Source organism: Homo sapiens, chromosome 7 (genome assembly GCF_000001405.40).
Source record: "Homo sapiens chromosome 7, GRCh38.p14 Primary Assembly".
Classification (NCBI taxonomy): Eukaryota; Metazoa; Chordata; class Mammalia; order Primates; family Hominidae; genus Homo; species Homo sapiens.
Window position 1 is genome coordinate 128,471,958 of NC_000007.14, and position 12,856 is coordinate 128,484,813.

The following is a 12,856-nucleotide window of genomic DNA, read 5'->3' on the forward strand; positions in this document are numbered from 1 at the left end:
CTGTGCTGAAATATGGTATAGCAAGAGGGTACACACCCATCCATTCATTCATCAATTATCTACTGAGTTGCATACTGTGTGCCAGACCTAGTTCTAGGACCTGGACATATAACAGTTAACAAACAAGTAAAATGACTTAACCTCACGGAGCTTAGTGATGGAGCTAATTATAACCATTGACTCGGCAATTCCTCTTCTAGAAATTAATCATAAAGAAATAATCATGAATGTACAAAATTATTTCATTACAAAGATGTACACCATGTTGAATTTTTTTTTCTTTCTTTTTTTTTTTTTTTTTTTTTGAGATAGAGTCTCACTCTGTCGCCCAGGCTGGAGTGCAGTGGCGTGATCTTGGCTCACTGAAACCTCCGCCTCTAGGGTTCAAGCGATTCTTCTGCCTCACCCTCCCGAGTACCTGGGACTACAGGTGCGTACCACCATACCTGGCTAATTTTTGTATTTTTAGTAGAAACGGGGTTTCATCATGCTGGCCAGGATGGTCTTGAACTCCTGACGTCGTGATCCACCTGCCTCGGCCTCCCAAAGTGCTGGGATTACAGGTGTGAGCCACTGCACCCAGCCGTTAAATTTTTAATAGTATGAAACTTAAAGTGACCTAAATGTCCAATAAAGCATGATATAGCTATACAAAACAATACCAGAAGGACATTAAGTGATGTTGTAAAAGAATATTTTGAACAAAAGAATAATGTCCCCAAGTTATTATTAAGTTAAAAAGCAGACTACAACTGCTAAGTGGCATGGGAGAACTTCAAGGCGTTGTTCTAAAACTAGATTGTGACGCTGATTACACAAATACAGATTTAATGAAAATGTATTGAACTGTACACTTAAAATGGATGAATGTAATTGGGTTTTCTTGTTGTTGTTGTTGTTGTTTGAGATGGAGTCTTGCTCTGTTGCCAGGCTGGCCTGCAGTGGCACGATCTAAGCCCACTGCAACCTCCGACTCCTGAGTTCAAGCGATTCTCCTGCCTCAGCCTCCCGAGTAGCTGGGATTACAGGCACCCACCACCGTGCCCGGCTAATTTTATTTATTTATCATTTATTTATTTATTATTTGTGTGTGTGTGTGTGAGGAGTCTCGCTCTGTCGCCCAAGCTGAAGTGCAGTGACACAGTCTCGGCTCACTACAACCTCCAACACCCAGGTTCAAGTGATTCTCCTGCCTCAGCCTCCTAAGTAGCTGGGACTACAGGCGCGTGCCACCACGCCTGGCTAATTTTTTGTATTTTAGTAGAGATGGGGTTTCACCATGTTGGCCAGGATGGTCTCGATCTCCTGACCTCGTGATCCGCCCACCTCGGCCTCCCAAAGTGCTGGGATTACAGGCGTGAGCCACCACACCCAGCCTAATTTTTGTATTTTTAGTAGAGATGGGGGTTTCACCATCTTGGTCTGGCTGGTCTCGAACTCCTGACCTCGTGATCCACCCGCCTTGGTCTCCCAAAGTGCTGGGATTACAGGTGTGAGCCACCGTGCCCGGCCAGATGAATGTAATTGTTTAAAAAAAAAAGCACAAAGCATTTTGTTCTGAAACTATTTTAATGTAAAGTCACTTACATAACTAAATTAGAAAGCACTAGGATGATATAAGCCAAAGCATTAATGAGTCAAATTAATGGTGGGAAGAAGTATTTTCTTTTGTTTTATCGATATCTTCTAAACGTTCTATAATAAAAAATTTATTTTGCAATAAGAAAACACAGGCCAGGTGCAGTGGCTCATGTCTGTAATCCCAGCACTTGGGGAGGCCGAGGCAGAAGGATTGCTCAAGACCAGGAGTTCGAGGCCAGCCTGGGCAACATGGCAAAACACTGTCTCCACAAAAAATGCAAAAATTATCCGGGTATGGTGGCACAAACCTCTAGTCCCAGCTTCTCTGTTGGCTGATGTGGGAGAATCACTTGAGCCTGGGAGGCAGAGGTTGCAGTGAGCTGTGATCGTGCCACTGTACTCCAGCCTGCGTGACAGAGTGATGCCCTATCTCAAAGAAAAAAAGGAGAAGAAAGGCCGGGTGGGGTGGCTAATGCCTGTAATCCCAGCACTTTGGGAGGCTGAGGCAGGCGGATCATTTGAGGTCAGGAGTTCAAGACCAGCCTGGCCAACATTGTGAAACCCGTCTCTACTAAAATACAAAAATTAGTCGGGTGTGGTGGCGGTGGCCTGTAATCTCAGCTACTCTGGAGGCTGAAGCAGGAGACTGGCTTGAGCCCGGGAGGTGGAGCTTGCAGTGAACCGAGATCATGCCACTGCACTCCAGCCTGGGCGACAGAGCAAGACTTCGTCTCAAAAAACAAAAACCAAAAAACAAAAAAAAAACAAAAAAAACAATTAACTACCCTTGTCCTTGGCTAACAACCTAAGGCAATAATCCAGAATGAGAGTTTTTAACCTTTACAAGCATTAAACCCATGCCACCCACTGAGCTATAAGAGTTCTCCTTACTTACCACCAGAGGGACCCTTAGTTCCTCTGAAACGTGGCGTTTCTGAAGCTACAATCCAGTATAAAGTCTGACACCAGAGAACTCACAGCCATGTCAAACTTATGCAAAATTATTTTAGGTGCTTCGAAAAATAGGTTTTACAGGCCAATCAAATATAATTGTATAAAATTAAGTTTAGGCCGGGCGCGGTGGCTCACTCCTGTAATCCCAGCACTTTGGGAGGCCAAGGTGGGCGGATCATGAGGTCAGGAGATTGAGACCATCCTGGCCAACATGGTGAAAACCCATCTCTACTAAAAATACAAAAAATTAGCCGGGCATGGTGGCGGGTGCCTGTAGTCCCAGCTACTCGGGAGGCTGAGGCAGGAGAATGGCGTGAACCCGGGAAGTAGGGAGCTTGCAGTGAGCCGAGATCACGCCACTACACTCCAGCCTGGGAGACAGTGCGAGACTCCGTCTCAAAAATAAATAAATAAATAAATAAATAAAAATAAAAAATAAAATTAAGTTTAGGATACTTTAGCACATTTCATAGAAAAAAGGCCAAAGCTGTTTGACATTTAAAATGTCTCCATTGGAACTAATATAGTAAATTCAAGTGAAGACAATGAGCTGTCTGCAAGAAAATATCCAGTGGGACTGTTGATTGGGAACACTAACAGCTTTTAGTGAGGGGAGAATAAAAGCCCACAGATGAGAAAACAAGATGCCAGAAATAAATGTAAATCAACCACCATATCTGCAAACAGCTGGCCTTGAGAAAAGATAAAAATTCCTTGTACTTGTTTCTGGGTATGGAGCTTGTGTTCAAAATGTTTCCAAAGACCACAAGAATGGCAAAAGCATATTGTCTTCAAATGAAGTACAACTTCTTTACTATCTTTTTGATTAACTTGTGTATTTTTCTTCCTGATTAGAGAGGCTTAGAGCTTGTTCCCATTTCTTTGGAGGAAAAGTATAGAATCATTCATTGCTCCCTGTAGTTTTACCTACAGAAAGAATTTACAATGGAATAAACAATTACTGGCTGGGCACGGTGGCTCACACCTGTAATCCCAACACTTTGGGAGACCGAGGTGGGCAGATCATTTGAGGTCAGGAGTTCAGGACCAGCCCAGGCAACATGGTGAAACCCCATCTCTACTAAAAATACAAAAATTAGCCGAGTGTGGTAGCGCGCACCTGTAATCCCGGCTACTCAGGAGGCTGAGGCAGGAGAATCACCTGAGCCCAGGACATGGAGGTTATAACGAGCTGAGATCCAGCTACTGCACTCCAGCCTGGGAAACAGAGCAAGACTCCGTCTCAAAAAAAAAAAAAAAAAAGTACTAATTACCAATGTGCTATGTCTAGCACTGCACTAACCCTTTCCTTTTTTAAAAAAATTCATCTTTCCCTTTATTCTGACATTATGACATTAAATAAAGTCCAAGAGATATTGGGCTGGTCCTTGTTTGGTCTCTGCCCTTTCCTTCTTTTCCAAGTGGTATTCATCATGCTTCTCTTGGAAGTCTTCTCAAATAACCTTATGTCTATAACATACTTTCTTCTAGATTCTTTTGAGAGTCTATTTGTATTAGATCTAGAAATAGAAATGTAAGGCTGAAATGTATTACTATGACAAACTGTATGTGTGTATTACAATCTTAATTGTGCTAATAAGGATAATTATAATAAATATAATATGGATGATTCAAAAAGGTTAGATGGTTATAATTAAAAAAAAATTGTCCTTGGATATTCCATTTGATTTGCTAAGCCTCGTGTTCTCTAATTTCATATATCCATCTCCCCCACCCCAACCAAAATATATATACACACTGTGTATACATATACACCCACACTATGAAGAGCTGACTATAGAAGCTGGAAATTGCCCTGTTTCTTTCCGCTGCTTGCTACCTTCTTCAGTTCTGGACATCGGCTCCGCAGTGGAACTAGGTAGCCTCAACTCTTATAATGATTCAAGATTATTCCTGTTTTACAACTTGAGGGAAGCTGGGGAACCTGTTAAGAGGATCCCAGCAATGAACTGGGCCTCAAGTGGAATGTCTCCCACTTTCTGCCTAACCTGCACGTCCATCAGCACCTCATCAATGAGATACGACTCCTCCGGGGAGAATTTCCCCCTGCCTGGTCCCCTTCCCTAGAGAGCCCTTCGCCAACCCTGGGAAAGCCCCAAACGACAGCTCCCGAGCGCCACCCGGACCAGACTCCAGGACCGCCCTGTCCCGCCACCCTTTTTCCCGCCCAGACTCCACGTCTTCTGAAAGAGGGCGTGGCCCGCAGGAAGTTCTCGCGTTACGGAAAGTGAAGTGTTTCCGGCTCCGGTGTCATGGCCGGCTCCTACCCTGAAGGTGCACCTGCAATCCTCGCCGATAAGAGGCAGCAGTTCGGAAGCCGGTTCCTGAGCGATCCGGCGCGCGTCTTCCACCACAATGCCTGGTAATCACCCTGCCCCCTCGCCCGGCCTGTCGCTGGCCGTCTGTCCCGCCGCCTCGGAGCATTCCGAAAAGCCCCTGACCGCCGGCCACGAGTCAAGCTGCCCTACCCGAGGCACTCTCCAAGGGGAGAGAAACTCCTAGGCCAGCGACTCACCCTGCTCGCAGCCAGGACGTGAAGCCCCTAAGCTGCCCGTTTGATTTTCTCAGGGACAATGTGGAGTGGTCGGAAGAGCAAGCCGCGGCGGCGGAGAGAAAAGTCCAGGAGAACAGTATCCAGCGGGTGTGCCAGGAGAAACAAGGTGCGCTTAAATGGGCTCTCGTTGGTATCAACAGCCAGCGTACTGCCGAACGCGCCCTCCCGGAGAGGCCAGGGAACCGCGGCCGCCCACATCCTTTATTCCTGGCCTGATGCGGATCTCAGGAGTAGAGCAGGACAGGGAGGGGATGAGCAAGGAGGGAAAAGGGCTGCATTGTAACAAAATCTTAAGTCGTAGAGGGTTTTTTTAATATATAGTTTTACTTTGGAGGAGGGTAATTTTGTCTTTAATTATGTTGAGTAGATCCACGTTGATATGGCTAGCCAATGACAACTGTGTGGTCACGCGATCATCTTAGAACCTGTACTTTTTACATGATTTGCATTTTCCATGAGGAGATGTTTCCATTGAAGCTTCATTTAAGTGATTAGATTCTAAATATTGTTGGGAGGGGGGCTAATGACTGGTGACTGTGTGTCTATTACTTGTGTGATGGTTATGAGAATTTAGGGCTTCAGTCAAGGAAAGGTGGATGCAGCAGAGTGGAGATAAGTCTGGCCAAAGAAAAGGAGGCCCCTGCTTGAGAGGTTGATGATTTCACTGCAAAATATCCCTAGATAGTAAAACTAGGACTGATTGTTCCAGACAATTGAAGATAGCACTACAAATTTAGTACCTGCTGAAAGAGTTCTGTACAACAAAAAGGTTCCAGTTACAAAACATTCACCCTGCATAGTCTGACAGCAACTAGATCAAAGCAAGTTAATAGTTAAAAGGGATTTTGAAAATCATGTGGTTCAATATTCTCTTTTTATAGTTAAAGACACTTGGACCACAGGACATTAAGTGCTTTTCCCAGAGGTAAGCAGTCAGTAGTAGCAGTAGTGGAACTAAAATCCTGTTTCTTAGGGAGTCTTGGTTGATTCAGCAGGTGAGTTGTGAGTTGTTAACACACTTCTTAGTGGATTCCAACTTCCATTGTCACCGTCCTGCTCAATTTGTTAGGTTTTTATTCTTTCTACTACACTAGTCAAGGCCCCCTGAACTGGCAAGAGCAGTAAACTGAAATCTGGGACTGTCATGATCACCTTAAAAACAGCCTTCATTTAAACTGTCCATACTTTTTTTTTTTTTTTTGGAGGCGGAGTCTCGCTCTGTCACCAGGCTGGAGTGCAGTGGCGCGATCTCAGCTCACTGCAATCTCCTCCTCCCTGGTTGAAGCGATTCCCCTGCCTCAGCCTCCCGAGTAGCTGGGACTACAGGTGTGCACCACCATGCCTGGCTAATTTTTTGTATTTTGGTACAGATGGGGTTTCACCATGCTGGCCAGGATGGTCTCAATCTCCTGACCTCGTGATCCGCCCATCTTAGCCTCCCAAAGTGCTGGGATTACAGGCATGCGCCACTGCACCTGGCTACTTCTAGGATTTTTTAATAGTTAAAAGTCATCTGGCTGGGCGCGATGACTCATGCCTGTAATCCCAGCACTTTGAGAGGCTGAGGCGGGTGGATCACGAGGTCAGGAGATTGAGACCATGCCTGGCTAACACGGTGAAACCCCGTCTGTACTAAAAAATAGAAAAAATTAGCCGGGCGTGGTCGTGGGCCTGTAGTCCCAGCTACTCAGTAGGATGAGGCAGGAGAATGGCATGAACCCGGGAGGTGGAGCTTGTGGTGAGCCAAGATTGCGCCCCTGCACTCCAGCCTGGGTGACAGAGCGAGACTCTGTCTCAAAAAGAAAAAAAAGTCATCCAAAGATGTAGGAGGACACTTGATAGATAGTAAGTTCTCTGGTTGATTGTTCAAACAGAATTTAGACTCCTATAATGACGGATGGGGCATTTGGGTATAATGCCAGATGGCAGGACTAAATGACCTCAGAAATGCCTTCAGTTCTGGGACTGTGGCTCTACCTGAGGATAATTTTAGTATTAAAGTGACATTTGGTAAAGCAGGATAATTGACGTTAGATATAAATAAAATATTTGAGAGCTGGTTCTTAAAATTTTTTCTTAAATATTTACAGTTGATTATGAGATCAATGCCCACAAATACTGGAATGACTTCTACAAAATCCACGAAAATGGGTTTTTCAAGGATAGACATTGGCTTTTTACCGAATTCCCTGAGCTGGCACCTAGCCAAAATCAAAATCATTTGAAGGATTGGTTCTTGGAGAACAAGAGTGAAGTATGTGAATGTAGAAACAATGAGGATGGACCTGGTTTAATAATGGAAGAACAGCACAAGTGTTCTTCGAAGAGCCTTGAACATAAAACACAGACACCTCCTGTGGAGGAGAATGTAACTCAGAAAATTAGTGACCTGGAAATTTGTGCTGATGAGTTTCCTGGATCCTCAGCCACCTACCGAATACTGGAGGTAACCTTTTATTGTCTTGGTAGTGGGATATGTGAAGCTATTATATTTGTGCACATGAGGTAGCATAGAGAGGCTGACAATAAAAGTAACTTCTATTGGATGATGCTGACTAGACTTGACCCTTATATTAGCCTGGAATCACCTCCATTTTTGAACTGATAAAATGCCCTCAGTGCAGACCAGATATCTGGTGGTCATCACAGACAAAGATCACACGGGAATAGCATGTCACTTCCAAAAATTGTATTAATAGCATCATGCTGTACCTGTCACATGACACTGTATCATACAGGTGAAAGAGCTCAACATGATCATGCTATAACTCTGGAAAAATGTCCCAGATCAGAAGAAATTGTTGCTTCTCTTCTAATACAGTTACAGGAATGGAGAGGGTAGTTAGGATGGTGCCTGTTTCTTAGGCCTGGGATAATTCTCTTCCTCTGCATTTGGATGGTGTTGCAGAGTCTAGACCTGGAAAAATGTCTAGATTGGTATAATGTAAATTCATAAATGGGGACTGCGCACGTTACTGGAAGCTGGTTCTGGAACTGGTTAGCCTTGGGATTGAGTCCTATGGTGTGATCTTAGACAATTTCCTTACCCTCTCTGAGCAGTGAGACTGCTGCCTCTGCACCTTATACTTATGAGGATGGAGATAATGTATGTAAAAGGGCTAAGAACAGTATCTGGCACATTGTTAAGCCCTTAATAAATAGTTGCTGTCTTCATTACCACGCAGCACTGTGTTTAGGACAAGGTTGTCAAGGTCCCCTTTTCATACATTTTTCAGCACAGTCTATTACAAATATTTTCACAATAATAATATAAGCTTAGTAAGAAAATACTTCATCTACAGGACAATTTGCTAGAACTCAAAAGATAAAAGCAATCCTTGCCCTTTTTTCTAGACCACCTCGTTTCTGCTAATAAAAACCCATGTTCTTGTCTTTTAAGGGTTCCTGAAGTCAACATCAAAATCAACAAATGTCATGGGTACTGTTTAGCTCTGGTCACTACACCTTCCCTAATACAGTTAGGCCAGATTCTTGTTGATTATTATTTTTCTAGCTTTTCTAGCTTTCGGGAATTAACTCTGGAAAGTTCTGTGATTAATAGTTCATTTCTGTCTGCAGGTTGGCTGTGGTGTGGGAAACACAGTCTTTCCAATTTTACAAACGAACAAGTAAGTATGTTGTAAAAGTTTATGATAGCAAAGAAGATAAAAGTGAAGGTTGGCTGGGCGCATTGCTTCACGACAGTAATCCCAGCACTTTGGGAGGCCAAAGCAGGATTGCTTGAGGCCAGGAGTGTGAGACCAGCCAGGGCAATGTAGCAAGAAAAAAAAGTAAAGATTTTTTCAAAACTTGCTGCATCAAACTATCAATAATGGTTATTGGAAAATATGGATTATGTCAGATTCAGATTTCTACATTGTTCATTTATGGATTGTTTTAATTTGATTATCTTTATCATTTGGAAAATTAGACTTAAAACTTGCTAGTGTTAACGTTTAGTGCCTTCTTCTTCTTCTAAGGAACAAATGTGTTCAACTTTTCCATTCTCATGATCTCTGAAGAACAGTCAGTGGCTGAGTTGTCATTACCCCCATGGTAGAGTTGAGAAAGCTATCATACATGAAGATGTCTCCTGTTCTGATGAAAACACACTGGTTTTGTGTACTTAAGCAGAACGCTTCTGACACCAAATGTGCAGGGTTTTTGCCAACACTGACCAATTCAACAACAGCTGGGTGTCCTACAATTCAATTCTGACACTGTCTACTTGGAGTTGGTATCAGATCCCACAAGTTAAGGGTTCGGTCCCAGAAGACTGCCCCCCACTTCAGATGCCAGTTGTGAATCTGGCCCTCCGTGTTTCTGCCCTACAGGCTGTAAATCAGGGGAGCCCTGTCTCCAGTTCAATAATTTCCTAGAATGGCTCACAGAACTCAGGGAAACACTTTACTTACATTTATGTGTTTGTTATGAAGGATACAGATTAACAGCCAGCTGAAGAAGTAATTAGAGTGGGGTTCAGAGGATCTCACGCTCAGGAGCTTTGACCCTGAGGAGCTCAGTGCAGTGTTCTCCTAGCACACGGATGTGTTCACCAACCTGGAAGCTCATCAAGGGTTTTTTTTTAGTTTTGAGACAAGCTCTTGTTCTGTCATCCCGACTAGAGCACAGTGGTGTGCCCATAGCACACTGCAGGCTCAAACTCCTAGGCTCAAGCAATCGTCTCACCTCAGCCTCCCAAGTAGCTGGGACTACAGACACATGCCACCATACCCAGCTAATTTTTGTTTATTTTTTGTAGAGACAGGGTCTCACTTTGTTTCCCAGACTGGTCTCAAACTCCTGGCTCAAGTGATCCTCTTGCCTCGGCCTCCCAAAGTGCTGGAATTACATGCATAAGTCACCGTTCCCAGCCTCAAGAGTTTTTATACAGCTAGGACACAGACTTATGGGAAAATTAATTTTAAAAGGAGAAGAAGAAAATAGTTTTCATACAACATAATCTGCATTTCTATTCAGGACATTGGTGGGTGAAGCTGAAAGTTCCAATCAGTTTGCCCTTACTAGTGTTGGCCCCACCCCAGGTCATCTCATTAACATAAATTCAGTGTGGTCCTGAGGGAGTTCATCATGAATAACAAAAGATACAGAGTCTTGCTTCATCTCCCAGGTTGGAGTACAGTGGCACAATCTCGACTCATTGCAACCTCCGCCTTCCGGGTTCAAGTGATTCACCTGCCTCAGCCTCCCTAGTAGCTGGGATTAAGGGTGCATGCCACCACACACAACTAATTTTTATATTTTTAGTAGAGACAGGGTTTCACCACATTGGCCAGGCTGGTCTCAGACTCCTGACCTCAGGTGATCTACCTGCCTCGGCCTCCCAAAGTGCTGGGATTATATGTGTGAGCCGCCGCGCCCAGCCTGCTGAGGAAATTCTTAAGGTTTTTGGAACTCTGTGCCTGGAACCACAAAGACCAACACCAAATATATTTATTATACCATACCTGTTTTGTTTTGTTTGAGACGGAGTCTTGCTCTGTTGCCCAGGCTGGAGTGCAGTGGCGTAATCTTGGCTCACTGCAACCTCTGCCTCCTGGGTTCAAGCGATTCTCCTGCCTCAGCCTCCCAAATACCCGGGATTACAGGCATGCGCCACAATGCCCAGCTAATTTTTGTATTTTTAGTAGAGATGGGGTTTCGCCGTGTCGGCTAGGCTGGTCTCGAACTCCTGACCTCAAGTGATCCACCCACCTCAGCCTCCCAAAGTGCTGGGATTACAGGCGTGAGCCATGGCTCCTGGCCCTATAGCTGTTTTTAAACCCCTTGTGGAAATGACATTCCAGTTCTGTATTCATTACTGGAATCCACTGTTTCTCAAAGGTTTCATATAATATATACTTTGCCAATTTAGCCCACAGTATTCATTAACAGGATTAAGTAAAACATTAGCCTCATTACTAATATACATTTAAATATTTCTACAATTTGTTCTCAGAAATTTCTAAGAAAATGGCAAGTCCTAGTACTAACACTGAAGAAAAGAGATTGTTCTACTCTTGAAGTTACAGTCTGAGGAACCCACCTCAAATGGGAGATTGACTTAGCTTCAAGTTATGGCCATTAATCATCAATATCATCAATGAATGTAAAACTGAATGTAGATGGCATCTTTGCCACAGCCTCTTTATGCCATTTAAATAAGATCGCTGTGTTCAGTATCTTACTAGAACCCACTTGTTCATGTAATTCACTGGCTTAGAATTGGCATGTTTTCTACTGCCTGTGAATCAGGTTTAAATTGTTGGGCATAGTTTTCAAAGTCCTCTACAAGAGTGTGCCCTATAAAGTATGTCCTCTTATCCCTCAGTGCACTGGTCACACCTTGCATGTCTTCCCCTGACTCCGTACCTTTCCAAAATGTCCTTTGTTTCTACTACTCTATTTCCTTCCTTCCTCACATTCAGATCAGAAGCATCTAGAAAACTTCCCTAGTTGTTATCGTCCAGCTGCCTCACTCTGCAGTCTTTTTCGAGACAGTCTCACTCTGTCACCCAGGCTGGAGTGCAGTGATTCGATCTCGGCTAGCCGCAACCTCCGCCTCCCAGGTTCAAGCAATTATCCTGCCTCAGCCTCCCGAGTAGTTGGGATTACAGGTGCCCACCACCACGCCCAGCTAATTTTTGTATTATTGATTGATTGATTGGTTGATTGAGACGGAGTTTTGCTCTTGTTGCCCAGGCTGGAGTGCAGTGGTGCGATCTTGGCTCACCGCAACCTCTGCCTCCTGGGATCAAGTGATTCTCCTGCCTCAGCCTCCCAAGTAGCTGGGATTACAGGCATGCGCCACCATACCCAGCTAATTTTATGTTTTTAGTAGAGACGGGGTTTCTCCATGTTGGTCAGGCTGGTCTCGAACTCCTGACTTCAGGTGATCCACCCGCCTCAGCCTCCCAAAGTGCTGGGATTACAGGTGTGTGCCACTGTACCCGGCTAATTTCTGTACTTTTTAGTAGAGATGAGCTTTCACCATGTTGGCCAGGCGGGTCTCGAACTCCTGACCTCAGGTGATCCACCCACCTCGGCCTCCCAAAGTGCTGGGATTACAGGCATGAGCCACCATGCCCAGCCCACTCTGCAGTCTTTACAGCCTTTTTATGTTTCTTGAGTTACCCTATTGCCTAGATCCTTTTTTTTTTTTTTTTTTTTTTTTTTTTGAGACAGGATTTCTGTCACCCAAGCTGGAATGCAGTGGTGCCATCACAGCTCACTGTAGCTTCAACCTTCCAGGGTTCAGGTGATCCTCCCACCTCAGCCTCCCAAGTAGCTGGGACAACAGGCGTGTGCCACCACCCCTGCTAATTTTTGTCTTTTTTGTAGAAATGGGGTTTTGCCATGTTGCCCAGGCCAGGGTTCTTAATATTTTTTTAATGTATCTGATAAAGCCTTAGGATCATTTCTCAGGCTAATGTATTTTTCATTTGTTTTCTTTTTATATATAACAGCTTTATTGAGATATAAAGTGTGTAATACAGTGGTTTTTTTGTTTGGTTGGTTTTTTGTTTTGTTTTGGTTTGGTTTTGAGGTGGCATCTTGCCCTGTCGCCCGGGCTGGAGTGCAGTGGCACGATCTTGGCTCACTGCAACCTCTGCCTCCCAGTTTCAAGCGATTCTCCTGCCTCAGCCTCCTGAGTAGCTGGGATTACAAGCGCCCGCCACCACACCCAGCTAATTTTTGTATTTTTAGGATTCACTGTGTTGGCCAGGCTGGTCTCGAACTCCTGAC

The 12,856-nt window shown here is 44.4% G+C and overlaps 1 protein-coding gene across 1 annotated transcript in view, besides 2 other annotated features; it reads left to right on the forward strand.

Moving 5' to 3' along the window:
• Nucleotides 4,628-4,677: an enhancer, noted in NCBI's record as "active region_26600". NCBI's record gives its function as "activates an Ori minimal core promoter by ATAC-STARR-seq in GM12878 lymphoblastoid cells {active_cell/tissue: GM12878}" and the evidence as "EXISTENCE:reporter gene assay evidence [ECO:0000049][PMID:35858748]".
• METTL2B (methyltransferase 2B, tRNA N3-cytidine) overlaps nucleotides 4,791-12,856 on the forward strand; it is a 29,855-nt gene continuing 21,789 nt past the window's right edge. Inside the window, exons 1-4 of the mRNA NM_018396.3 lie at nucleotides 4,791-4,918; nucleotides 5,125-5,216; nucleotides 7,201-7,556; nucleotides 8,690-8,739. Of these exons, the coding sequence (NP_060866.2) occupies nucleotides 4,809-4,918; nucleotides 5,125-5,216; nucleotides 7,201-7,556; nucleotides 8,690-8,739 (608 nt within the window). The 5' untranslated portion in view covers nucleotides 4,791-4,808. The remainder of the gene's footprint in view (nucleotides 4,919-5,124; nucleotides 5,217-7,200; nucleotides 7,557-8,689; nucleotides 8,740-12,856) is intronic.
• Nucleotides 4,898-5,067: an enhancer, noted in NCBI's record as "active region_26601". NCBI's record gives its function as "activates an Ori minimal core promoter by ATAC-STARR-seq in GM12878 lymphoblastoid cells {active_cell/tissue: GM12878}" and the evidence as "EXISTENCE:reporter gene assay evidence [ECO:0000049][PMID:35858748]".